The sequence below is a fragment of the Homo sapiens genome, chromosome 1 (assembly GCF_000001405.40).
Source record: "Homo sapiens chromosome 1, GRCh38.p14 Primary Assembly".
Taxonomy (NCBI): Eukaryota; Metazoa; Chordata; class Mammalia; order Primates; family Hominidae; genus Homo; species Homo sapiens.
In genome coordinates, this window is record NC_000001.11 from 150859567 (window position 1) to 150886327 (window position 26761).

General features: G+C 42.6%; 1 protein-coding gene, 1 long non-coding RNA gene and 1 pseudogene across 38 annotated transcripts in view, besides 8 other annotated features; all 3 read right to left on the reverse strand.

Moving 5' to 3' along the window:
- Nucleotides 1–17033, reverse strand: part of ARNT (aryl hydrocarbon receptor nuclear translocator) — a 66887-nt gene extending 49854 nt beyond the window's left edge. For 19 of the 37 annotated variants that reach the window (XM_047420740.1, XM_047420734.1, XM_047420716.1 and 16 more), the window contains exon 1: nt 16977–17033. In XM_047420740.1, coding sequence (XP_047276696.1) covers nt 16977–17001 — 25 coding nt within the window. In that variant the 5' untranslated portion in view covers nt 17002–17033. Of the gene's footprint in view, nt 1–1680; nt 1737–1794; nt 1830–16976 lie in introns of all 37 variants that reach the window. The other 18 variants (XM_047420697.1, XM_047420694.1, XM_017001293.2 and 15 more) reach the window with 2 other exon arrangements.
- Nucleotides 14597–15098: an enhancer, noted in NCBI's record as "H3K4me1 hESC enhancer chr1:150846639-150847140 (GRCh37/hg19 assembly coordinates)". NCBI's record gives its function as "activates a minimal SCP1, AML or CMV promoter by ChIP-STARR-seq in naive H9 embryonic stem cells {active_cell/tissue: H9 hESC(naive)}" and the evidence as "EXISTENCE:reporter gene assay evidence [ECO:0000049][PMID:30033119]".
- Nucleotides 15099–15598: an enhancer, noted in NCBI's record as "H3K4me1 hESC enhancer chr1:150847141-150847640 (GRCh37/hg19 assembly coordinates)". NCBI's record gives its function as "activates a minimal SCP1, AML or CMV promoter by ChIP-STARR-seq in naive H9 embryonic stem cells {active_cell/tissue: H9 hESC(naive)}" and the evidence as "EXISTENCE:reporter gene assay evidence [ECO:0000049][PMID:30033119]".
- Nucleotides 16659–17088: a silencer, noted in NCBI's record as "silent region_1306". NCBI's record gives its function as "represses an Ori minimal core promoter by ATAC-STARR-seq in GM12878 lymphoblastoid cells {active_cell/tissue: GM12878}" and the evidence as "EXISTENCE:reporter gene assay evidence [ECO:0000049][PMID:35858748]".
- Nucleotides 17092–17365: a silencer, noted in NCBI's record as "fragment chr1:150849134-150849407 (GRCh37/hg19 assembly coordinates)". NCBI's record gives its function as "represses an EF-1alpha promoter that drives an FKBP-Casp9 reporter gene in an ReSE screen in K562 erythroleukemia cells {active_cell/tissue: K562}" and the evidence as "EXISTENCE:reporter gene assay evidence [ECO:0000049][PMID:32094911]".
- The window catches only part of LOC107985204 (uncharacterized), a 48174-nt gene continuing 40014 nt past the window's right edge, over nt 18602–26761 (reverse strand). The window contains exons 2-3 of the long non-coding RNA XR_007066618.1: nt 21764–22139; nt 18602–19923 (exon numbers count right to left, since the gene is read on the reverse strand). This is a non-coding gene — a long non-coding RNA (uncharacterized LOC107985204). The remainder of the gene's footprint in view (nt 19924–21763; nt 22140–26761) is intronic.
- On the reverse strand, nt 21638–22164 carry RPS27AP6 (RPS27A pseudogene 6; annotated as a pseudogene).
- Nucleotides 24692–24836: an enhancer, noted in NCBI's record as "145 bp 1:150856806 sequence used in MPRA reporter constructs". NCBI's record gives its function as "activates a minimal TATA-containing promoter with rs36008098 allelic activity by MPRAs in UACC903 melanoma cells {active_cell/tissue: UACC903}" and the evidence as "EXISTENCE:reporter gene assay evidence [ECO:0000049][PMID:36423637]".
- Nucleotide 24764: a transcriptional cis regulatory region, noted in NCBI's record as "rs36008098 or 1:150856806 MPRA-significant variant associated with a GWAS melanoma risk locus at 1q21.3". NCBI's record gives its function as "allelic transcriptional activity by MPRAs in UACC903 melanoma cells {active_cell/tissue: UACC903}" and the evidence as "EXISTENCE:reporter gene assay evidence [ECO:0000049][PMID:36423637]".
- Nucleotides 26457–26601: an enhancer, noted in NCBI's record as "145 bp 1:150858571 sequence used in MPRA reporter constructs". NCBI's record gives its function as "activates a minimal TATA-containing promoter with rs12404199 allelic activity by MPRAs in UACC903 melanoma cells {active_cell/tissue: UACC903}" and the evidence as "EXISTENCE:reporter gene assay evidence [ECO:0000049][PMID:36423637]".
- Nucleotide 26529: a transcriptional cis regulatory region, noted in NCBI's record as "rs12404199 or 1:150858571 MPRA-significant variant associated with a GWAS melanoma risk locus at 1q21.3". NCBI's record gives its function as "allelic transcriptional activity by MPRAs in UACC903 melanoma cells {active_cell/tissue: UACC903}" and the evidence as "EXISTENCE:reporter gene assay evidence [ECO:0000049][PMID:36423637]".

Genomic DNA, 26761 nt, shown 5'->3' on the forward strand with positions numbered 1-26761 from the left:
GGCTGGTCTCAAACTCCTGAGCTCAAGCAATACTCCCACCTCAGCTTCCCAGAGCACTGGAATTACAGGTTTGAGCCACTGAGCCCAGCCCTGAGTATATTTTCTCTTATTTTTCAATCTCAGTTTATATATACCTAACTCTGTAATCAAAAAGAGGTGCAGGCTGGGCACAGTGGCGGATGCCTGGAATCCTAGAGCTTTGGGAGACCAAGGTGGGCAGATCACTTGAGCCCAGGAGTTCGAGACTAGCCTTTGCAACACAGTGAAACCTCATCTGTACAAAAAATACAAGTTAGCCAGCATGGTGGCCCATGCCTGTAGTCCCAGCTACTCAAGAGGTTGATGTGGGAGGATCACTTGAGCCTGGGAAGTCGAGGCTGCAGTGAGTCGTGATTGCACCACTGCACTCCACCCTGGGCAACAGAGCAAGATCCTGTCTAAAAAAAAAAAAAGGGTGCATTTTTCTCTTAGTAAAAAATGGAGGCCTGATCTTCAACTTGCTCGTCATTTCAATATACATCATGAATATCTATCTACACACATCTCATTGTTTTTTGTTAGTTCATACTGTATAGTGTACAATATTTTGTGCATCAAATAACACTACCAACAGAGTGAAAAGGCAACCCATGGAATAGAAAAAAAAAAATTCTTTTTTTTTTTTTTTGAGTTAGAGTCTCACTCTGTCGCCCAGGCTGGAGTGCAGTGGCGCAATCTTGGCTCCCTGCAACCTCCAACTCTCGGGTTCAAGTGATTCTCGAGCCTCAGCCTCCCAAATAGCTGGGATTACAGGCACGCACCACCACGCCTGGCTAATTTTTGTATTTTTATTAGAGATGGGGTTTCACCATGTTGGCCAGGCTGGTCTTTAACTCCTGACCTCAAGTGATCCGCCCACCTCAGCCTCCCAAAATGCTAGGATTACAGGCATGAGCCACCGTGCCCAGCAGAAAAAAAAATTTTCGAATCATATATGCAACACAGAATATCCAAAATATATAAAGAGTGGCCAGGCACGGTGGCTCACACCTGTAATCCCAGCACTTTGGGAGGCCAAGGCGGGCATATCACCTGAGGTCAGCAGTTCGAGACCAGCCTGATCAACATGGTGAAATCCCATCTCTACTAAAAATACAACAATTAGCCAGGAATGGTGGTGGGCACCTGTAATCCCAGCTACTCGGGAAGCTGAGGCAGGGAGAATTAATTGAACCCAGGAGGCGGAGACTGCAGTGAACCAAGATCGCACCACTGCACTCCAGCCTGAGCGACAGAGAAAGACTCTGCCTCAAAAAAATAAACAAATAAAAAATAAAACAAAATATATAAAGAGCTCCTACAACTCAACAAAAAGCAAACCCAATTTTAAAATGGGCAAAGAACTTGAACAAGCATTTCTACAAAGAAGATATACTAATGGCCAATAAATACATGTAAAGTGCTCAACATAACCAATCGCTAGGGAAATGCAAATCAAAACCACAATGAGAAAGCATTTGCTACTCATTAAGATGACTATTATCCAAAAATATATAAATAAATAAAGGGTTGGCAAGGATGTGGAGAAATTAAAACCCTTATGCACTGCTAGTGGAAATGTAAAATGGCGTAACAGCAATAGAAAACAGTATGGAGATGCCTCCAAAAATTAAAAATAAAACTGGGTGCAGTGGTGCGCACCTGTAGTCCCAGCTACTCGGGGTCTGAGGCAGGAGAATCTTGAGTCCAAGATCAGGCTGGGAAACACAGCAAGACAACATCGCAAAAAAAAAATTAAATTAAAAATAGAATTACCACATGATCCAGCAATTCCACCTCTGGGTATATACCTGAAAGAATTGAAAGCAGGGTCTCAAAGAAACATTTGTATACCCACGTTCACAGAAGTACTATTCAACAGTAGTCAAGGGTGAGGGCAACCCAAGTGTCTATCTACAGGTTAACGGATAAAGAAACTGTGGGGCTGAACATGGTGGCTTACACCTGTAAGGCTAGCACTTTAAAAGGCCGAGGGAGGAGGATCATTTGAGTCCAGAAGTTCAAGACCACCCTGGGCAACACAGTGAGACCCTATCTCTAAAAAAAATGAACAAAATTGGCCATACATGTGGTATGTGCCTGATTACAGGCATGAGTCACCACGCCCAGCCAGGGTTTCGGTAATTTTTACCCAAAAAAAAGGGTCATACTATACAAACAGTCCTGACTTATAATGGTTCCATGTAGGGCTTTTCACCTTTATGATAGTGGGAAACCATTACAATTTCAGTGTAATGTACAGTGTTCTGTAAATTACATAATATCCAGTACTTTATTATAAAGTAGAATTTAAGTTAGATTATTTTGCCCACTGCAGGCTAATGTAAGTATTCCACACACATTTAAGGTAGTCTAGGCTAAGAATAGGTTAAGTGTATTAAATGTATTTTTGACTTAGGATGTTTTCAATTTACAATGGGTTTATCAAGCCATAACCCCACCATAAGTACAGATGTACTTATTCTGAACTTTTTCCCTTCCACGTAACAATATATTGCTATGGCAATAAATACACACGTAGATCATTCTTTTTAACAGTTACATAGTACTCTGTACTATAAATGTATAGTTATGACATTCAAACCTTCACTATTATAAATAATGTTTCAAGGAACATCATTGTGTATCTTCATGCACAGGTGCCAGTACTTCCATATTATTTCTGAAAATGACTCCCTGGGCCTAAGGGTAGACACATTTAAAACTCTGATTGCCCATTACCTGCCAAGGAGGTTATACCAATTTAAAGCCTCATCCACTGCATCAATTTAGCCATACCTCCAACAGCACTGTGTTTTGGGAATCCTTCAAATTTGTGGTCATTTTCTTGGTAAAAAACAATTACCACTGTTAGTTTAACATACATTAAGGCTGAGTATATTTTTATGTTACTGCTAATTTTTCTATTTCAGCCTATAAATTTGAAATAGTAAGCATATGTTACTTTCCTAAGAAAAAACACTTTTTCCATTAAAAAAAAAAGTTCAGGGCCAAGTGCAGTGGCTCATGCCTATAATCCCAGCACTTTGGGAGGTCAAGGCATGAGGATTGCTTGAGCTCAGGAGTTCAAAACTAGCCTGAGCAACATAGTGAGATCCTGCCTCTGTAAAAAAAAAAAAAAAAAAAAAAAAGTTCATACTTTTAGTAATACGTTTATATAGGATATAAGAGTACCATGGAGTCAAACCTGTAATCCTAGCACTTTGAGAGGCCGAGGCAGGCAGATCACGACATCAGGAGTTCGAGACCAGCCTGGCCAATATGGTGAAACTCCGTGTCTACTAAAAATACAAAAATTAGCCAGGCATGGTGGCGCACACCTGTAGTCCCAGCTACTCGGGAGGCTGAGGCAGAAGAATCGCTTGAACACAAAAGGCGGAGGTTGCAATGAGCCAAGATCGTGCCACTGCACTCTAGCCTGGGTGACAGAGCAAGATTCCGTCTCAAAAAAAAAAAAAAAAAAAGATTACCATGGAGGCCAGGCACGGTGGCTGATGCCTGTAACCCCAGCACTTTAGGAGGCTGAGGTGGGTAGATCACTTAAGGTCAAGTTTGAGACCAGCCTGACCAACACGGCAAAATCCCGTCTCTACTAAAAATACAAAAATTAGTCAGGTGTGGTGGTACACGTCTATAATCCCAGCTACTTGGGAGACTGAGGCATGAGAATCGCCTGGGAGGCAAAGGCTGCAGTGAGCCGAGATCATGCCACTGCACTCCAGCCTGGGCAACAGAATGAGACTCTGTCTCAAAAAAAAAAAAAAGAGTGCCAGGTAAATTCAGAGAAGATAATCCTGGTTTAAATTAAGGCCTGGCATAGTACTTGCAGAGAAGATGCTCAATATGAAGAGGAAACTAAAGGAAATAAAGAAGGCAGGCAACCAGCCCATGGGGAAGTTTCAAAAAGGTAAATCAAACTGGGCCTTAAAAAAAGTAAAGGAGACCAGGCACAGTGGCTCACGCCTGTAATCCCAACACTTTGGGAGGCCGAGGTGGGTGGATCACCTAAGGTCAGGAGTTCGAGACCAGCCTGACCAACATGGTGAAACCCCGTCTCTACTAAAAATATAAAAAATTACCAGGCGCCTGTAATCCCAGCTACTCAGGAGGCTGAGATAGGAGAATTGCTTGAACCCAGGAGGCAGAGGTTGCAGTGAGCCAATCGAGCCACTGAACTCCAGCCTGGGCAACAAGAGCAAAACTCCGTCTCAAAAAAAAAAAGTAAAGAAGAAGAAAAAGGCATTCCACATAGATAAAAGTACATGAGCAAGTCTAAAGGGAGATATGAAAATACAGTTATGTATCACTTAACAACAGGGATATGTTCTGAGAAATGTGTCATTAGGAGATTTCAACATTGTGTGAATATCATTGAGTATACTTACACAAATCTAGATGGTACAGCCACTACACACCTAGGTATGTAGGTGTATAGCCTACATACCTATATGTAGCCTATTACTCCCAGTAACAGCCTATTACTCCCAACCTGTACAACATGTTACTATACTGAATACTGTAGGCAACTATAACTCAGTGGTAACTATTTATGTATCTAAACATAGAAAAAGTAATGTGTTGTGCTAAGACCTTATGACAACTATGATGTCACTGGGCAATAGGAATTTTTCATCTCCATTATAATCTTATGGGACCACCATCATACATGCAGTCCTTTGATGACCAAAGTGTCATTAGGTGACACATAACAGCAACTGTGAAGAGCTGTAAAGAAAAAGACCTATTGGAACCAACCCAAATGTCCAACAATGATAGACTGGATTAAGAAAATGTGGCACATATACACCATGGAATACTATGCAGCCATAAAAAATGATGAGTTCATGTCCTTTGTAGGGACATGGACGAAATTGGAAATCATCATTCTCAGTAAACTATCGCAAGATCAAAAAACCAAACACCGCATATTCTCACTCATAGGTGGGAACTGAACAATGAGATCACATGGACACAGGAAGGGGAATATCACACTCTGGGGACTGTGGTGGGGTGGGGGGAGGGGGGAGGGATAGCATTGGGAGATATACCTAATGCTAGATGACCAGTTAGTGGGTGCAGCGCACCAGCATGGCACATGTATACATATGTAACTAACCTGCACAATGTGCACATGTACCCTAAAACTTAAAGTATAATAAAAAATAAATAAATAAATAAATAAATAAATAAAAGAAATATGATAAACATATAAATAATATGTGGTGGAATGTAAAAAAAAAATTGCCCCTGAAGAAAACAAAATGGTTTTCTTTAAATCAAAAAAAAAAAAAAAAAGAAAGAAAAAGACCTATAAAAGGTAAGATGTCAAGTGCTAACCAAGAGAAAGCTTTGAATGCCACGATGAAACACCTGGATCAGATTCAACAAAGACAAACATATAACTTTAAGTCTGAGTAACAAGATGAAAATATAAATTAAAATTAATCTGACAGATTTAAAGTTTGAAGTAATAGAAGTAGGAAGACAAGATTAATAAAAAAAACAAGGTGATAAAGGCCTAAATGAGGATGGCACAACGAAAAGGTAGTTACTTCTAAAATTTTAAACTATGCAACTTCTGAGTAAGGATAGTGAATTAAATGTATCTATCTATTTCTACTCTCTTCTCTCTTCACTCACACACAGGAAAAAAATTTTTAAAAGCAAAAATTTTTACACAAGACATAAAACCACAAGGATGGAAAGAATAAGAGAAGAAGAGCAATAATTTTTTTGAAACTAGAGATAAAATGGACTATTGCCTTGGGAGATCGACAAGAACTAAATCCTAAACTGACAAGGGAAAAAGCAGAAAACCAACTCAATTTACGCTATGGAATTCCCCAAAGTCTCAGAAGCTGGTGAGTCCAGGTAACTCTGGGTATGCAGGGTAGGGTGAATGAAGTGAAAATAAGGAGAATTAGTTCAGCATCTGTTTACTACAGAGATGGATTCCTAGATCCTTTTCTCTATTCCTTCTAACCAAGGCAACTACCCCTCTCCATTCTGTCAAAAGACAGATTTACTCTCTGGAGAGTATAAATCAAAGGTCTTACAGTCTAGTGAACACGACGTAAAGGTGAAAGTGAGGGACCCGTACTGAAAACAGGAAAACTAACACCAATGTATGCATACTACATGCTTCATTTTTCTTCTGTGTTATACTGCCTATTTCCTATATTTCGTATCTCCACTTTCTTGGTTTACTATCTCCTACTGGTAGAGCCTATCTTCTAGTGGATTCCTGAAAGGGTGTAAGAAATGCCTTGGATGTATGAAAATATTTCTTCTATTTCACTAATTGATAGTTTGCCTAGCTATGGAATTCTAAATTAGAATTTATTTTCCCTCAGAATTTTGAAGGCATTACTCCAAAGTTTTTTTTTTTTTTTTTGAGACAGAGTCTTCGCTCTTTTGCCCAGGCTGGTGTGCAGTGGCGTGATCTCGGCTCACTGCAACCTCTGCTTCCCAGGTTCAAGCAATTCTCCTGCCTCAGCCTCCCAAGTAGCTGGTACTACAGGCACACACCACCACGTCCAACTAATCTTTGTATTTTTAGTAGAGACGGGGTTTCACCATGTTGGCCAGGCTGGTCCCAAACTCCTGACCTCAGGTGATCCACCTGCCTCAGCCTCCCAAAATGCTGGGATTACAGGCGTGAGCCACCAAGGTCAGTCAGCCTGTTCCAAGGTCTTCTACTTTCCAGCATGACTACTGAGAAAAAAGACCAATCTGATACCTGAATCTTTTGAATGTGAATAATCTTATTCTCTCTGAAGCTTATAGGATATTCTCTATCTGATGCTGAAATTTCAGCATAATGGGCCTTGATGTGTGCACAGCCCCTTTGATCTGGAAACTAATGTCTTTCACTGGGACACTTTATTTAAACAGAAACAAAGAATTCTGTTAAAAGAAATAAAAATGATGCCACTGGAGAGAAGGAAATGAGAGAAAGGGAGCAGAGGACTCCCTTATAATTTTTTTGTAACAAACATTTTATAAAACTATCTAAGTCTTTAAATATTAATATATGGATGTATAGTTTTGATTTAAATAACTTTTATATATGTATGTATACACACATACATATACACACACACACACGTATATTTGGCAAAAGACCTGAGAAGAGTTAATAACCCAGATAAACACATAAAAAATAAAATCCAAACACTTATAGTTCCTTAGCCTGGGGAAATGAAAAACTGAATTGTGATAGTGATGAAAGATACAGAAAGGTAGGAAGAACAGCAGATTTAAAGGAAATACTGGTGAGTACATACATATATAGGATGTTAAAGATTATTCAAATAGAGGCTGGGCGCAATGGCTCACACTTGTAATCCCAGCACTGTGGGAGGCCAAGGCAGGTGGATCACTTGAGGACGGGAGTTCAAGACCAGCCTGGCCAACATGGTGAAACCCCATCTCTACTAAAGATACAAAAAATTAGCCAGGCGTGGTGGCACACTGTAGTCCCAGCTACTCGAGAGGCTGAGGCACAAAAATCATTTGAACCTAGGAGGCGGAGGCTGCGGTGAGCCAAGATCGCACCACTGCACTCCAGCCTGGGCAACACAGAAAGACTCTGTCTTTAAAAAAAACAACAACAACAAAAAAAAACAGATTACTCAAATAGAGCTGGGCATCGTGTCATACACCTATAATCCCAGCTACTAGGGAGACCAAGATGGGGGGACTACTTGAGCTCAGCAGTTCAAGACCAGTCTGGGCAATACAGTGAGACCTCATTTCTATAAATTAAAAAAAAAAAAAACTATTCAAACAGAGATGCAGCCAGGCACAATGGCACACACCTGTAGTCCAGCTACTCAGGTTGCTGAAGTGGGAGGAATGCTTGAGCCCAGGATTTCAAGACCAGCCTGGGCAACATAGTAAAACCCTGTCTCAACTTTAAAAGAAAAAGAGAGAGATATCTTTTAAATAGATAAAAATATAGGAAAGTAGTTTATGTGAGAAGCCAGGAATGAAATTTTTGGAGTCTTTTATACATAAAAGATAAATAAAGGGTGATATGGTTTGGCTCTGTGTGTCTCCACCCAAATATCATGTCAAATTGTAATCCCCAGTGTTGAAGGTGCAGTCTGGTGGGAGGTTATTGGATCATAGGGGTGGTTTCCAAAGGTTTAGCACCATTCCCCTAATGCTCTCTCATGATAGAGTTCTCAAGAGATCTGGTTGTTTGAAAGTGTGTAGCACCTTCCCCTTCTCTCCCTCTATCCTGCCAGCCATGTGAAGACATGCTTGCTTCCCCTTCGCCTTCCGCCATGATTCCAAGTTTCCTGAGGCCTCCCCAGCCCTGCCTCCCATACAGCCTGCGGAACTATGAGTCAATTAAACCTCTTTTCTTCATAAATTACCCAGTCTCAGGTAGTTATTTATAGCAGTGTGAGAATGGACTAATACAAAGGGAAGAGGACTATGGTAGGTACCAAGTGAATGTCAAATTGAAGTAGGAAGGCAAGCAGCTAGAAAGGCAGGTAGGTGGGCAAATGGGAAGAAATGAAGGAAACTGCTTGGTTTACTATTTAGTTCTAGCCCCAAGCCGGGCACTGTGGTGTACACTTGTAATCCCAGCTACTCAGGAAGCAGAGGTGGGAGGATCATTTGAGCTCAGGAATCCAAGACCAACGTGGGCAACATAGCAAGACCCTGTCTCAAAAAAGAGTCAAGACCCTGTCTCAAAGAAGAGTCCTAGCCTCAAGGGTGAGAAGAGAAAAGTAGAAGCATACTGAACAAGAGAAAGAAACAAGCAGAAAGATAAGCAAAAAGGACAAAGAAGGAACAATCAGTGATAAAGACCTAGCAACAGTGTCTCTGAAACCAAGTTTCTAGGAGAGGCTCAATTATGGAGTATCAAGAACTTGTAGAGGATTCTAATAACAATCCTAAAAGCTGCAGTGCATGATTCATGCCTGTAATCTCAGCAATCTGGGAGGCCAACAGCAGGAGGATCACTCGAGGACAGTAGTTCAAGACCAGCCTGGGCAGGCCGGGCGCGGTGGCTCACGCCTGTAATCCCAGCACTTTGGGAGGCCGAGGTGGGCAGATCACGAGGTCAGGAGATCGAGACCATCCTGGCCAACATGGTGAAACCCCGTCTCTACTAAAAACACAAAAATTAGCCAGGCGCGGTGGCACGTGCCTGTAGTCCCAGCTACAGGAGGCTGAGGCAGGAGAATCGCTTAAACCCGGGAGGCAGAGGTTGCAGTGAGCCGAGATCACGCCACTGCACTCCAGCCTGGGTGACAAAGCAAGACTCCGTCTCAAAAAATAATAATAAAATTTAAAAAAAAAAGGACCAGCCTGGGCAACATAGCGAGATCCTGTCTCTACAAAATTAAAAAATTAGCTGGGCATGATGGTGCATACCTATGGTCCCAACTATTCAGGAAACTGAGGAGTGAGAATCGCTTGAGCCTAGGAATTGGAGGTGTTGCAGGAAGCTATGGTCACGCTACTGCACTCCAGCCTGGCTGACACAACAGGACCTTGTCTCAAAAAAACCCTTAAAAGTATTTAAAGAATTGAAACATAGAACTAGGAGAAAGAAATATAGAATGTTAGGCTGGGCGCGCTAGCTCAAGCCTATAATCCCAGCACTTTGGGAGGCTGAGGTGGGCGGATCACAAGGTCAGGAGATCGAGGCCATCCTGGCTAACACAGTGAAACCCCATCTCCACTAAAAACACAAAAAATTAGCAGGGCATGGTGGTGGATGCCTGTAGTCCCAGCTACTCGCGAGGATGAGGCAGGAGAATGGCGTGAACCTGGGAGGCGGAGCTTGCAGTGAGCTGAGATCGTGCCACTGCACCCCAGCCTGGGTGACAGAAGGACACTCAGTCTCAAAAAAACAAAACAAAACAAAATGAAGAATTATAGAATGTTACAGAAAAGATTTTAGGAAACTACTCCTTTTTTTTTTTTTTTCCTAGAGACAGGGGCTCACTCTGTCAACCAGATTAGAGTCCAGTGGCATGATCATGGCTCACTGCAGCCCTGACCTAGCAAGCTCAGAGATCCTCCCACCACCTCAGCCTCCCAAGTAGTTGGGACTATAGGCATCCACCACCACATCTAGCTAATTTTTTTATATATATTTTTGTGGAGACAAGGTCTCCCTATATTGCTCAGGCTGGTCTCCAACTCCTGGGCTTAAACAATCCTCTCACCCTGGCCTCTCAAAGTGCTGAGATTACAGGTATGAGCCACCACACTCAGCCTGGAAACTACTGTTCTAGCTCCTTTTTTTAGCACCTTGCACTTGGTTCTCCAACCAAGCAATGCCTTGCCCCCAGGCTGCCTAATGTGGTATTTCACCCTTTTCATCTACAAAAAAGACAATACTCCACCTACCTCCTTCTCAAAAGATATCCATTGTACTATATTTCAGTAGGAAGGTGACTCTAAGTCACAATGGAAAAAATCATAACTTGGAGATTAAGAATGATGACTGTGTAGATGGACTGCCAACAATAAAATTCTGTCTCTAACTTCTAGTAGCTATGTGACTTCAGACAAGTTACTTATTCACTCTCTGTGCCTTAGTTTCCTCATCTGTAAAACAAGAATAATAATACTTACCTAATACGATTGTTATAAAAATTAAATGAGAACAGCTGGTAAGTATTACTAATAAATATTAGATATTATTATAGTTAGTACAAATTCATGATGTCAATGGCTTAATTAGTTTTATCCCTTCAAAGGTATTTCATATTAACAGTGGGTTTTACATTCATTTTTATTCCACAAACATACATTGAACTCTAATCCAACATACTAGGCACCCACTGTAAGCACTGCAATGCTCTGGTAAACAAGGAAAGCAAAAGTTCTGCTCTCATGGAACTTATATCCTAAGTATGCTGGTTTTGTTGTGTTTTTTGAGACAGGGTCTCACTCTGTCTCCTAGTCACCCAGACAGGAATGCAGTGGCACAATCATGGCTCACTGCAGCCTCAACCTCCCAGGCTCAGGTCATCCTCGCATCTCAGTCTCCCACGTAGCTGGGACTACAGGGAATGCTACCACACCCTGCTAATTTTTTGTATTTTTTTGTACAGATGGGGTTTCACCACGTTGCCCAGGCTGGTCTCAAACTTTTGGGCTCAAGCAATCCACCTACATCAGCCTCCCAAAGTGCTAGGATTACAGGTATGAGCCACCATGTCCAGCCCTAAGTATACTGTTGAATCCATAAACTTACTTGTCCATTCAACTACAATGAAAACGTGGAGGGAAAATATAAAATGGGCCTCAGAGGGTGGCTCACACCTGTAACCCCGGCACTCTGGGAGGCCGAGGCAGGAGGATTGCTTGAGCCCAGGAGTTTGAGACCAGCCGGGGCAATATAGTGAGACCCGGTCACTATCTAAAATAATAAAAACTTTAAAACAAGAAAATACATTGACGAAATTATGAAAAGTGACATAAATTTGAAGAGTTTATGTGAAAAGTTGGAGACAGTTGCTACAGACTAGACATAAAGATTAGCAACAAAATAGGAAAGTGCAGCCTGGCATATAGAAGGAACTTAATTATCCACTCCTTTCCCTGGGTTTGTCTCCTTAAGTGTAAAATGATAGGTGTTGTCATATTTCCAACCTGAAGATTCACTGATGTCTACTTACTAAAGTCATTATGGCATATTAGGCAGTCGTGGTTTTTTTTTTTTTTTTTTTTTTTTTAGACGGAGTCTCACTCTGTCGCCCAGGCTAGAGTGCAGTGGTACGATCTCAGCTCACTGCAACCACCACCTTCCAGGTTCAAGCGATTCTCCCGCCTCAGCCTCCCGAGTAGCTGGGATTACAGGCACCTGCCACCATGCCTGGCTAATTTTTGTATTTTTAGTAGAGACAGGGTTTCTCCATGTTGGCCAGGCTGGTCTTGAACTCCTGACCTCAGGTGATCTGCCCACTTCGGCCTCCCAAAATGCTAGGATTACAGGCATGAGCCACCATGCCCGGCCAAGGCAGCATTCTTAAAAACAGATGGCGGCGGAGCATGGCGGCTCACGCCTGTAATCCCAGCACTTTGGGAGGCCAAGGTGGGCGGATCACCTGAGGTGAGGAGTTCAAGACCAGCCTGGCCAACATGGAGAAACCCTGTCTCTATTAAAAATAAAAAATTAGCCGGCGTGATGGCAGGTGCCTGTAATCCCAGCTACTCGGGAGGCTGAGGCGGGAGAATAGCTTGAACCCAGGAGGCGGAGGTTGCAGTGAGCCAAGATCACGCCATTGCACTCCAGCCTGGGCGACACAGTAAGACCCTGTCTCAAAAAAAAAAAAAAAAAAAAAAAAAGGCCTTTGCAATATAATAAAATACTATCTCTTTTTTTGTTGGGGGACAGGGTCTCACTCCAACACCCAGGCTGGAGTACAGTGGCATGATCACAGCTCACTGCAGCTTCAACTTTCCAGGCTCAGGTGATACTCCCATCTCAGCCTCCCAAGTAGCTGGGACTATAGAAGTGCACCACAGTGCCCGGAAAATTTTTTGTATTTTTTGTAGTAAAGGGGTTTCGTCACGTTGTCCGGGCTGGTCTCAAATTCCTGGGCTCAAGCAATCGGCCTGCCTCGGCCTCCCAAAGGGATTAGAGGCACGAGCCACCACACCTGGCCATAAAAGAATATCTTGACATCTTAACTTTACATTGCATGAATTCCTATTTTCCCATATCTGAAAAAGGTAAATAAAGGTAACAGGTAAGAATTGTGTTAATTGACGCAGTTAAAACTAAGTTATATAGGTGAAAATTAGCTAAAAAAAATTTTCTTCCTAAATGACAGCCTTACAAACCCAAACGGTATTACCCTTTTCCTTCTACATTCTTCATCCACAGTAACTTGTACATAATAGCACAAAAAGAATTCTCTGCTAATGAGAATACCAGAATCAAGAGAGATAAAAACCTACACTTACTACAAACTCATTCAACATCTCTAGTTTGAATTTGGAATTGTAAATCAAATACCTAATCTCCTCCCAACTGTTCCCTCAGCCAATGCATTACAAATGACACATTCAATTTAAAAAGTGTTCCACCTTGGCTGGGCATGGTGGTCATGCCTATAATCCCAGCTCTTGGGGAGTGCCCAACGCAGGAAGATCACTTGAGGCCAGGAGTTAAAGACCAGCCTGGGCAACATAGCAAGACCCTGTCTCTAAAAAAAATTTAAAATTAGCCAGCCACGGTGGTGCACACCTGTGGTCCCACCTACTCAGGAGGCTGAAGTGGGAGGATCACATGCTCCCAGAAGGTCAAGGCTGCAGTGAGCCATGATTGTGTCACTGCACTCCAGCCTCAGTGACAGAGCAAGACCCTCTCCTATGGGGAAAAAAAATGTGTTCCTCAAAACTTGTCTAGTCCGGGCCGGGCACGGTGACTCAAGCCTGTAATCCCAGCACTTTGGGAGGCCGAGGCAGGCGGATCACAAGGTCAGGAGATCGAGACCACCCTGGCTAACAGGGTGAAACCCTGTCTCTACTAAAAATACAAAAAAAAAAATTAGCCGGGCGTGGTGGCGGGTACCTGTAGTCCCAGCTACTCGGGAGGCTGAGGCAGGAGAATGGCGTGAACCTGGGAGGCGGAGCTTGCAGTGAGCCAAGATAGCACCACTGCACTCCAGCCTGGGCGACAGAGTGAGACTCTGTCTCAAAACAAACAAACAAACAAAAAAAAAACAAAACAAAACTTGTCTAGTCCATAGATAAGAAACAGCCTAAAGTTTCATGGACCACCTACCCACCGAGTTCTACTTGCCAGTGATAAGTAGAACTAGTGAAAAATGATAGAATATGAAGAATTATCAATTCGAGAAAAAAAATCATCACAGAACTATTACTTCAACACAACTCTTAGAGAGTACCAACCATATTTTACTCTTCTTCTAATGCAGCACCACAGTGAAAAATGCAGAAGAACGTGGTCCCCTTGAAAAACACTGCAGGGCCACCAGCACAATTAACATGTTCAAGCACTATTACTAACCCTAAGGATTAACTTGGCCGGGTCAGTGGCTCACACCTATAATCCCAGCAGTTTAGGAGGCTAAGGTGGGAGGATTGCTTGAGGACAGGAGTTCAAGATCAGCCTGGGCAACATAGCAAGATCCCATTTCTACAAAAAGTTAAAAAATGTATCCAGGTGTGGTGGTGTGTGTCTGTAGACCCAGATACTCAGGAGGCTGAGGTGGGAAGATCACTTGAGCTCAGGAGTTCAAGGCTACAGTGAGCTGTGATTACACCATTGCACTACAGTCTGGGAGACAGAGCAAGAACCTGTCTGAAAAATAAAAATAAGTATTATTTTTAAAAAGGATTAACTGAAGTGAAGGTTAAAGAGTGAAATATTTTTTAAAATCTTGACAAAACTAACAAGAATTGTAAAAAAAAAAAAAAAAAAAAAAAAATTAGTACTCCAGCAAAAATACAAAGTAGAAAAAACTCAAAGAAATAGGCATGGTGTCCCTAGTCCTTAAAATGGCTCTAAGGAAAGAAGGTATGACAGTGTAGCAAAGAATTCTGACCTGAAAACATTTACTTTCACTAAGCACAGTACATTTCCACCTATGTCCCTCCATTCATTAATCTCATTTCCCAAAAAGCAACAGGCTACTGAAAAAATCCACAATGTATCTCTGATCTCTTCCTCATGATATACAAGAGCAAAGGGAGAAAAGAAAAAAGAAAATATATCTTCTGATTTGATTGAACTGAACATGGGATCAATAAGTCAGAAGAGATGGAATAATTTTTCAACATCAAAAAAGAAATCTGGTCAAAGTGTCTCACATCTGTATTCCCAACTTGGAGAGACTGAGGCAAGGCTTGCTTGAGACCAGGAGATCAAGATCAGCATGGGCAACATAGCAAGGCATCTGTCTCTACAAAAAAATTTAAAAATTAACCGCGCATGGTGGCAAGGCACCTGTAGTCCCAGCTATTCGGGAGGCTGATCGTGAGAGGATCACTTGAGCCCCTGAGGTGGAGGCTGCCGTGAGCAGTGATCTTGCCACTGCACTCCAGACTGGGCGACAGAGCAAGGAGCAAGACCCTGTAGCAAAAGAAAAAGAGGGGAGAGGGGACAGGAGAGAGGGGAGAGGAGAAAGGAAAACAAAGAAAAAGAAAAAGGAAATCTAAAAATTGCAGAAGCAAGCAGCCAAAGCATAGTAAACAAAGCTGTTTCATTAACAAGGATTCTGCACACACACATACACACTAACATATGCTATTTTCTGCTAAGATTTAAGCTGATATTGATCAGCTTATGAAAATATGGTCAAGAGGCTGTCATTCTGGTTGCTGTTGTTCAAAAAACAAAACAAAATAAAGCAACCCCACCCACACAGCTGGAAAAAAGCTTCTGACATATGAACTAAAACTTGTTTACCCAGGCCACTTCTTAATAAGAGAAATGCTTTGCAATTTAACTAGGGTTATATAAGTATTTTGCAATGTGTGATCAGTTAAAAATCTTGTTTATTTATTCCATAGTTCACAGATAGGTTATATTACTACAAGGTCAGGTTTGACATAACGGCATTTTTCCTGTTTTATAGTTTTATTCTATCACTCAGCACTTCCTGCAATGTAATTTTTGCGATTAATTTTACCTCCCTTTCCTTCAAAAAAAATTTAAAAGATTAAAAAAAAATGACGTGACAAATTAACCATTTCTTAAAATAGCTATTCCCAGAAACACGGTAGAAAAGAAATTTCAGTGATTCAACTGTCCTATCAAAATCTGGATATTGCAAAATCATACTGCCTTTCAGTAACATGAAAAAAAATCTAATTTAAATTTCAACGTGGGGATGGGGGTAATCACTCCTACTGTTTTATTTTCAAGAAATTCTCCGCCCCACGCAACACACACACATATCTCAAGGCCCTTTTTAAGGCTATCAAATATATTGGTTTTTGGAAAAGGATAGACTTTATTTGGCAAGAATAACCAAGGTCTCCAAGATAAACTAGACCCCTAAAATGAAATGCCTTCTAAAGAGGAATAACTGTAACATAGAGGAAAGAGGGCTGGGACTAGTAATTTGAAGATCTGATCTCTCTAGAACTGCACTACACCCTACTCCATCTCTTAGACAAAACAGACCAAACCTTTTTGATATTTGATTATTTTTTGAAATTGAGAAATGGTGTGGAATCAAACTTTTCTGAAAGAGTTTGGAAATTGCCTCGACGTAGGCCTAACAAGATTTAAACCTGGGGCTGTGGAACTAAAGACCTGTCCGGAACCATAACCATTACACAAACCCCTGCCCTCAGCAGGCAAAGACCTACAGGCCCTCTTAACACAAGATCTAAGTTTCAAAGTATAGTCCGGGGACGGAGACGGGGACGGGGGTTGCGGGTGGGAGGTAACAGCCTAAAGAAACGTCGTATATATCAAAGAATGTCCATTTTTTATTTTTTAAATTAAAATCTAAACCTTTAAATGTTTGGAAGCAACGCCTCAACTAAAGAGCAGTGTGGTCCAGGGTTTATGAATCCAAACTACTCTTAAAGTAAACCGAGACACTCTGCCTACAGTTTTCGGCATCAAGCGGCTCCAGCGGGCAGAGGGTTAAAAGAGGACCACATCACAGACCAGACGCCGACCGAGGAGTGAGGGCGGGCCAGCCCCGCACTGGCTGCCGCTCCAACGGAGGTCAGGACAGGGAGCCCCCCTCAACTCCCACCTGCCCCCTCGCTCCCTTGGGTATACTCGAGTCTACCCAAGTCCCCGGGATCGGGCCCCTCCCCAGGTCACCGCTCCCCCACCGTCTCTCGCGGCCCCCGCCCCGCCCCGGCGCCTTCAGCTCCAGCTGCGTCCCCTCAGCCCTGGGTCTCCTTAGTTGTCAGCCCCTTCGGCCCCTCCCCTTTAGAGGCGCCCCAGTCCTCCGTCTCCTCACCGGGGTTGGCAGTAGTCGCCGCCATGGCCGCAGATGCCACCGCCGCCGCGCCACCCCCCCCCCCAGTGGGAGGAGCCGCCGCCACCGAACCGGGAGGGAGGGGAAAAGAAAGGCCACTCCCCAGAAGCGGCGCCTGACCGCCGCCTCCGCTACCGCGGAATCCAAGATGGCGGCTTCAGCAGCCCCCAGCATCCCAGCCCCTGCGGCGGGGAGACCCCGCCTATATAGTAGGCGGAGTCAACACACGGCCAGCCTCCTAAGAAAAATTGACCAATGAAAATGCCAAATCGTCCAAGGGCAGGGCTACTCACTGCGCCAGCCAGTCCAGTGAAGGGAGGGCGAGGAAGAAGTCCAGCTGTCTCCCTAATCTCGCCCTCCTTGCGTAAGAGGTCAATGACCGAGTAACGTCATTGAAATGCAATTAAAATGGGTATTTTAGGCTGGGCGCGGTGGCTCGCGTCTGTAATCCCAGCACTTTGGGAGGCCGAGGCGGCCGGATCACCTGTGGCCAGGGGTTCGAAACCAGCCTGGCCAACATGGCGAAACCCCGTCTCTACTAAAAATACAAAATTAGCCGGGCGTGGTGGCGCATGCCTGTAATCCCAGCTTCTTGGGAGGCTGAGGCAGGAGAATCGCTTGAACCTGGGAGGCAGAGGTTGCAGTGAGCCGAGATAGCGCCACTGCACGCCAGTCTGGGCAACAAGAGCGAAACTCCGTCTCAAAAAAAAAAAAAAGGATATTTTACTAAAAACCTTCGCTTGGTGGTGGATTCGTCTGAGTGGTTGCCGTGCAGACAATGTATCTTGTAAATCCTCTTTAGGTGCTAAAGAGCACCTAAACATCACATGGTGATTTGTAATCCTTTCCAGTTTTTTTCCTCTTTTAAGGACTTTTGTCCCTGGTGAAAAAGTTAAATGACTAACTTTTGAATGCCTGCTATGGAACCGGTAGTCTAAAAGGATCCAGGTGTTAACGGTTTGGTATGGGAGATATTGCCAGCCAAAATTGGAGGCAATAGATGAAGAAAGTAATTTGAGAATGGGTAACTTCTTTGGTCAGTGACAGGGACAGAGTGAGGAGTTTTGTTTGTCTGTTTTTGAGACAGAGTCTCTCTCTGTCGCCCAGGCTGGAGTGCAGTGGCGCAATCTCGGCTCACTGCAACCTCCACCTCCCCGGTTCAAGCAATTCCCCTGCCTCAGTCTCCTGAGTAGCTGGGATTACAGGCGCACGCCACACGCCTGGCTAATGTTTTTTGTATTTTTAGTAGAGATGGAGTTTCACGACGTTGGCCAGGCTGGTCTCGAACTCCTGACATCAGGCAATCTGCCCGCCTCGGTCTCACAAACTGTTGGGATTACAGGCGTGAGCCACCACACCTGGCCAGTGAGGAGTTTTTAATAGGGAATCAATAAGATGATGGCTGTGCAGATTTATTTTCTTTTTTCTTTATTTTTTTCTGAGACGGAGTCTTGCTCCATCACCCAGGCTGGAGTGCAGTGGTGCGATCTTGGCTCACTGCAACCTCTCCCTCCCGGGTTCAAGCAGTTATCCTGCCTCAGCCTCCTGAGTAGCTGGGATTACAGGCGCGCACCACCACGCCCGGCTAATTTTTGTTTCCTGGTAATAGGAAGCATTGAGCTATTCGAGGTAGGCACTGTCCAAAATGCTTTATATGTATTTACTCATTTAATCCTCACAACAACGATGAGGTAGGTTCTACTGCTATTTCCATTTTGCAATTAAGGAAACAGAAACAAAGAGGGTAAGCAAGGGACATCCAGCAGGTAAGTAATGTGGGAGGCAAACTAAAGGAGTCTGACACTGGAAACCTGTTCCACCCATCCCCCTATTTTAGCACTACAATTTTAGCACTACAAAGTACTTCCATTTTCATGTATCGCTCACAAAATGTTTAATACAAATTTAATTAAAATTTTAACAAAAATCCCATTATGCTATTGAACAGCTTTGCATTCTTAGAAGTTGTATATGTACTGCGCAGATTACATTGATCCACTTATTTAGTTTACTGCAAAGGTATTTTAACATAATTTACATATTATTGTTTACATCTGTTAAAATTTCATTTTTCTTTCATTTTGTTGTTATATTTATAAGTCACCAAAAAGAAAAAAATCATCCACCCAAAAGAAATACATTGGCTGGGCTGGGCGGGGTGGCTGTAATCCCAGCACTTTGGGAGGCCAAGGAGGGCGGATCACAAAGTCAGGTGTTCGAGACCAGCCTGGCCAACATGGTGAAACCCCATCTTTACTAAAAATACAAAAATTAGCCGGGCATGGTGCCGCGTGCCTGTAATCCCAGCTACTCCGGTGGCTGAGGCAGGAGAATCGCTTGAACCTGGGAGGCAGAGGTTGCAGTGAACCGAGGTGCCCCTGCACTCCAGCCTGGGCGACAGAGCAAGACTCCATCTCAAAAAAAAAAAAAAAAAAATGCTGTAGCTTCTTTACCAAGTAAAATGGATTTTTCCAGAATAAATGCAAAATGTTTTCCTGTATGATGTGGATACATTTTGTGGTTAAAAGAGATCAAGTTACATTTCTGTAGAAAAAAATTGGTAGAAATCATTTTGTTATAGAGCTGCTTACACAACTAGCTACAAAGTTAATAACATATTCTGTTTGGAGACAGTGCAACAAAGCTGGCTGGGTGCAGTGGCTCACGCCTGTAATTCCAGCACTTTGGGAGGTCAAGGCAGGAGGATCATCTGAGATCAGAAGTTCAAGACCAGCCTGGCCAATATGGTGAAACCCCATCTCTACTAAAAATACAAAAATGAGCTGGGCGTGTTGGCACACGCCTGTAGTCCTAGCTACTCAGGAGGCTGAGGCAGGAGAGTCGCTTGAACCTGGAAGGTGGAGGTTGCAGTGAGCTGGGATCGATTGGGCCACTGCACTCCAGCCTGGGTGACAGAGCGAGACTCAATCTAAAAAAAAAAAAAAAAAAAAAAAAGTGTAACAAAGCTATTGGCAGAATTCTTTGTCAAATATCACATGGAGTCATGATACACAACATGAAATGGCAATATCTGCCCTGTACCTGCTACCAGATGTTTGTTTTAAGCGTAGAAACCACTGATATACACAATATGAATCCGCTTACAGCATATAGGCAATACATAAGGAGAAATGCCCAGAAACTTCCTGTCTGGTTTATCATTAAAAATTCAAGATACAAAAGAAAACATTTTTCATTTAGATAAGAATTATTTTGTGAGGTATGAGTCAGTCTGAAAAAGATATCTTGGGATCAAAACTGATGGAGTTACAGGCCAGGCATGGTGGCTCACGGCTGTAATCCCAGCACTTTGGGAGGCCAAGACAGGCGGATCACTTGGACCCAGGAGTTTGAGACCAGCCTGGTCAACATGGCGAAACCCCATCTCTACTAAAAATACGAAAATTAGTCTGGCATGGTGACACATGCCTGTAATCCCAGCTACTCGGGAGGCTGAAGCACGAGAATCACTTGAACCTGGGAGGCGGAGGTTGCAGTGAGCCGAGATCATGCCACTGCGCTCCAGCCTTGGTAACAGAGCAAGACTCTGTCGCAAAAAAAACACAAACAAACAAACAAACAAAAAAACACTGATGGAGTTATAACTTTGGATGCAGAAAGAACACTGTTCCTACAAAAAAGATGTCAGTCCACTTTCCTTTTTATTTCCTTTTTTTTTTTAGACAGAATCTCACTCTGTTGCTCAGGCTGGAGTGCAGTGCCATGATGGCTCACTGCAACCTCTGCCTCCCAAGTTCAAGCTATTCTCCTGCCTCTGCCTCCTCAGTAGCTGGAATTACAGGCGCCCGTCACCACTGCCCCGCTAATTTTTTTGTGCTTTTATTAGAGATGAGGTTTCACCATGTTGCCCAGGCTGGTCTCCAACTCCTGAGCTCAGACAATCCACCCACCTCGGCCTTCCAAAGTGCTGGGATTACAGGCATGAGCCGCCATGCCCAGCCCACTTTCCATTTTATTCAGAAAACAGTTCATAGCCAAAATATATTTCTCCCAGCCAGGCTCAATGGTGCATGCCTGTAGTCCTAGCTAATCTAGAGGCTGAGGAGGGACGATCACTTGAGCCCAGGAGTTTGAGGCCAACCTGGGAAACATAGCAAGGCCTCATTTCTAAAAAAAAAATTTCTCCTGATTTTGATTCGACATTGAACAAATTAGCACAAACCATAAATGTAGTAAAATATCATCCAGTGAGCACAATCTTTGAGAAGAAACAGATAAATTGGTGCTTTCTCCACAGTTAAGTATGGAGGCCAGTAAGGGGGGGAAATGCTGTCAGTTTTTAATAAGGATTGAAGTGAAAATCTCTTCTTTATGATATAGATAATACTAACATAAACCATTTTTATTATTTTAAGTAGGATTTAAGTAGGTTTCTCAAATGGTTCATCTGAGCAATATTTTCATTAACATGAACATATTACTTTAACTTCTAAATGTCATGGTTTGGAGTTTTGTTTTTGTTTTAGAGATAGAGTCTCACTCTTTCACCCAGGCTAGAGTGCAGTGGCACCATCATTGCTCACTGGAACCTCGAACTCCTGGCCTTAAGCCATTCTCCCACCTCAGCCTCCCAAAGCACAGGGATTATAGCCATAAGCCACCACACTCAGCCTGTTTTTGCTTTTTAGTTCATGCCTTTTATTAACCCATCTCGTCTTCTGGTTTGTTGAAACAGTAAGTCAGACAACATTTGCCACAATAATGTCTTTCAAAGTGGCTGGCCATAAAAACTCCAGCACCACACTCACCTGAAGGGCACTCACAACAAAGGCAACTAGTTTTGCCATTCTTGTCCACCTTGTAATATTTTAGGACCGTTAGCTTAACCTTCTTTCTCTTATGCGTATTCTTCTTGGGAGTGGTGTAATACTTCTTCCTTGGCACCACCACAAAGTCTCAGCACAATAAGAAGAGTGGACTCCTTTTGAATGCTGTCATCAAAGTACATCCATCTTCCAATTGCTTACCAGCAAAGATCACTCTGCTGATGAGTAGGAATTCCTTTCTTATCCTGCCAGGACTTTACATTTTGTATTGTATTAGAGAGTTCAACCAATGAACCCCAACAAATAAGAGAGTGATGTCTTCCCCATTACAAAAATCTGCATCTTGGTAGCAGTTCTCCTGCAGATGGTGGATCACAAAGCAAACATTTTTAATGTTAAGAACAAAGTATCAGGATTTTGTAAGAAAAGCAGACTATGATGCAAATGCCTTGACTGCCAAGAGTATTTTATTTCCCAACACATGATAATTTTCTTTCTTCATCAGAGGAAAAAAATGAATGACACATTATTGAACATATTCTAAACCACATCCAAATGTTGCAACCAAATGGGGGTAAATGCTTCCCAGAGCTGAATGCAGCCAATGCAACTGAATACAACTCCTGCCCTCTCTCAAGTTGAAGCATTTGACTTTTGAGGTTACTCTTTGCTCTTCTGCTTAGAATCTGACAAACCACTGAATGCTTTCACTAGAAATTCTCCAATAGATCCTTGTAAGCTCCAACTATTCAGAATTATCTGGTAGCCATCAAACATTTCTTGCCATATCTGACAAACTCACTGTAAATACAGATTTTCTAATTTTAGTAGAAATAAAAATTAACAGATCAGATCAGGATGCCAGTTGGCAAATTTTAAAAAATTAAGAAATCTGTTGACTGTGAAGCCTGATCTACATGTTTTTATACACATTTTCAGCTTATCAATATTTAACCATTACTAATACTATTACTATTATGTTTATATTAATTTGTAAATTAATAGAAAATTACAGTTTTTTTCTGTTAACTCTTATGGTAAACTGGTTTTTTTAATTATTTAGAATGGTAGTTTTTAAATTGTTTTTTGTTTTTGTTTGTTTTTTAAGACCAGTCAAGTGAAGGAACAAAGAAATCTGTAACTGATTGGGATCAATTAGTTGTAAACACCAAGGCACTCAGACCAGCCTCCAAAGTTTTATTAAGTGTCTCTGGGTATGGTTGCCAGATTTAGCAAATAAAAATAAAGCTAAGCCAGTTTGATCTGAATGCTGGATAAACAACAAATAATTTTTTTTTTTAAATGGAGTTTTGCTTTTTTTGCCCAGACTGGAGTGCAATGGCATGATCTTGGCTCACTGCAACCTCCGCCTCCCTGGTTCAAGCGATTCTCCTGCCTCAGCCACCCGAGTAGCTGGGATTACAGGCACCCGCCACCACGCCCAACTAATTATTGTATTTTTAGTAGAGACGGGGTTTCACAGAGGCTGGTCTCAAACTCCTGACCTCAGGTGATCCACCCACCTCGGCCTCCCAAAGTGCTGGGATTACAGGCGTGAGCCACGACGCCCAGCCTACGAGCACATCTAAGGAATGGAAACCAGATTGCAAGTGGGTGAGAAGTGAGTAGAAACTAAGTAGACACAGTTAGTTAGCACAGATTATTTTTTCAAGAAACATGACAAAGAAGAGAAAAATAATCAAATGGTAGCTGCGGTAGGGGTTAGGCTAGGGGTGGAAATAGTAAAATATTTCTATAGACTGAGCTTGTGGAAAGGAGCAAACTAAAAATGCAAGAAACATCCAGGTGTGGTGGCTCATGCCTATAATCCCAGCACTTTGGGAGGCCAAGGTGGGTGAATCACCTGTGGTCAGGAGTTCGAAACTAGCCTGGCCAACATGGCAAAACCTCATCTCTACTAAAAATACAAAAACTAGCTAGGCGTGGTGTTACACACCTGTAATCCCGCCTACTCGGGAAGCTGAGGCATGAGAATCACTTGAGCCTGGGAGCTGGAAGTTGCAGTGAGCCCAGATCGCACCACTGCACTCCAGCCTGAGTGACAGAGTAAGACTCTGTCTCAAAAAACAAAAAAATAAAAAAATGCAAGAAATATATATGCCTGAGAAAACAAGACTGGTTCTAGGGGAGAGAAGGAGACAGGGTTAGGGCAGCATGTGAAAGTGTTCTCAGAAAACCAAGATACCCTTTTTCTAAAAATGTGTAGACATTTTGAAGTGGAGGAAAGGGAACTCATGTGTGATGACTTTGAGTCTCAAAGAAAAGTAACAGGTGAAACTTCTGCTGGGAATAAGAGGTAGAAATGAGGGTGGGTGTAGCTGCACAGCTGTAAGCAATTGGTTGGGAAGTCAACTAGGTATGAACAAAACGACTGTGAATAATCTGCCACAGGAGTAGAAAAAGGAAACAAAAAAAGATCACCAAATGCTCTGGGGAGCTAGACAAAGTTAGAAAGCATAAATTTTCATGAAACTATGGAGCATTGTAATTTCTGTCAATACTCAGAAACCTGAGGAAAGAAAGTGAACAGTTTACCCACAATTGGAGAGATGATGAACTGATCAGTATCTTGAAGATGGAAGATTCTAGAATTGCAGAAGACCCTAGTTTAAAAATATCTGAAAGGGGATGAGACTGGTCTGGGAAGCAAATGAAGCCAGAAGTTATTGGACTGAGAAGAGAGGTTTAATTCTGGAAGCTGATGTTGATAGCAAATTCAAAAGTGAGAGAGTTGGAGTCAGAGGATAGGCACTGGGAACCACATGTATCACAAAAAAGTTATTAATAAGTAAAAAATGTGTAAAAATGTATCTGTGTGTACTTATGTTTGTAGATAGATATACATTTTCAAATCAATAAGTAAAAGGTTAATAGCTCAGTCAAAAGGGAAAAGGATAGGTAAGGTGAAGATAGGTTTGTATGTATCTGCAAAATATGTAAATCAATAGAGATTCAAATACTGTAGTAATTAGAGAAATGCAATCTTTAAAAAACTGAGATATTGGGCCAGGCGCAGTGGCTCACACCTGTAATCCCAGCACTTTGGGAGGCCGAGGCGGGCAGATCATGAGGTCAGGAGTTCGAGAAAAGCCTGACCAACATGGTGAAACCTCGTCTCTACTAAAAATACAAAAATTAGCCGGGCATGGTGGCGTGCGCCTGTAATCCCAGTTACTCAGGAAGCTGAGGCAGGAGAATCACTTGAACCCCAGAGGCGGAGGTTGCAGTGAGCCGAGATCACACCACTGCACTCCAGGCTGGGCGACAGAGCAAGACGCTGTGTCAAAAAATCAAAAACAAAACAAAACAAAACAAAAAAGATATTGTGGGGTTTTTTTGTTTTTGTTTTTGTTTTTGTTTTTCTTGAGATGGAGTCTCAATTTCTTGTTCTGTTGCCCAGGCTGGAGTGCAGTGGCTCGATCTCAGCTCACCGCAACCTCACCCTCCTGGGTTCAAGCAATTCTCCTTCCTCAGCAACCCAAGTAGCTGGGATTACAGGCGCACACCACCATGTCCGGCTAATTTTTTGTATTTTTAGTAGAGACAGGGTTTCACCATGTTGGTCAGGTTGGTCTCGAACTCCTGACCTCAGGTAATCCACCCGCCTCGGCCTCCCAAAGTGCTAGGATTACAGGCGTTAGCCACCGTTCCCAGCCTAAAAACTGAGATATTGTTTTTAACCAATTAGCTCAACAAATATTTCAGAGACTCTGAGTAACTTACATTGGTGAAGCTATGAAAAAAAAGAAAAGGCACTTTCATGCCTATTTGATTGGAGTGTAAATTACTATAACCGTTTAGTGTGTAATTTGGTAATATCTATTAAAATTCCAAATGTGCATATCCTACAACCTAGCATGTATATTTTTAATATTTGGAGGAATTTATTCCACAAAAACATTTCCACAAGTGCCCAGAGAAATATATATACAAGGCTGTCACTCCAGCCTGGGTGACAGAGTGAGACTCTATCTCAAAAAAAAAAAAAAAAAAAAAAAAAAAAAATATATATATATATATATATATATGTATGTATATATATGTATGTGTATATATATGTATGTATGTATATATGTGTATGTATATATACACACACAAACACGGATATTTATTGCAATGTTGCTATAAGAAATTTGAAACAATACAAAAGCCCACCAACAGAGAAAATGGACTACTTGAGTACTCAGCAGCCATTAAAAAGAATAAAGCAGATTTTTTTTTTTTTTTTTTGATATGGAGTCTGGCTCCGTCGCCCAGGCTGGAGTGCAGTGGCACCATCTCGGCTCACTGCAACCTCTGCCTCCCAAGTAGCTGGGACCACAGGCGCACACCAACATACCTGGCCAATTTTTGTATTTTTAGTAGAGACGGGGTTTTGTAATGTTGGCCAGGCTGGTCTCTAACTCCCGACCTCAAGTGATCCACCTGCCTCAGCCTCCGAAAGTGCTGGGTTTACTGGCGTGAGCCACCATGCCTGGCCCGGTTATGACTTTTTTTTTTTTTTTTTTTTTTTTTTGTGAGATGGAGTCTGGCTCTGTCACCCAGGCGGGAATGCAGTGGCGCGATCTCGGCTCACTGCAAGCTCCGCCTCCCAGGTTCACGCCATTCTCCTGCCTCAGCCTCCCGAGTAGCTGTGACTACAGGTGCTCGCTACCACGCCCAGCTAATTTTTTGTATTTTTAGTAGAGACCGGATCTCACTGTGTTAGCCAGGATGGTCTCGATTTCCTGACCTCGTGATCCGCCTGCCGCAGCCTCCCAAAGTGCTGGGATTACAAGCGTGAGCCACCGCGCCCGGCCTGACTTTTTAAATCAAATGTGTCAAGTAAATTCTTCTGAGGAAAGAGGGGAAAACATTTTAAAGCATCACTAATCCTGTTGACAAGTAGTTCCCAAACTTAAGCATACATCACAATCACCTAGAGAAGCTGGTTAAAACACAAATGCCACAGGAAGTGGT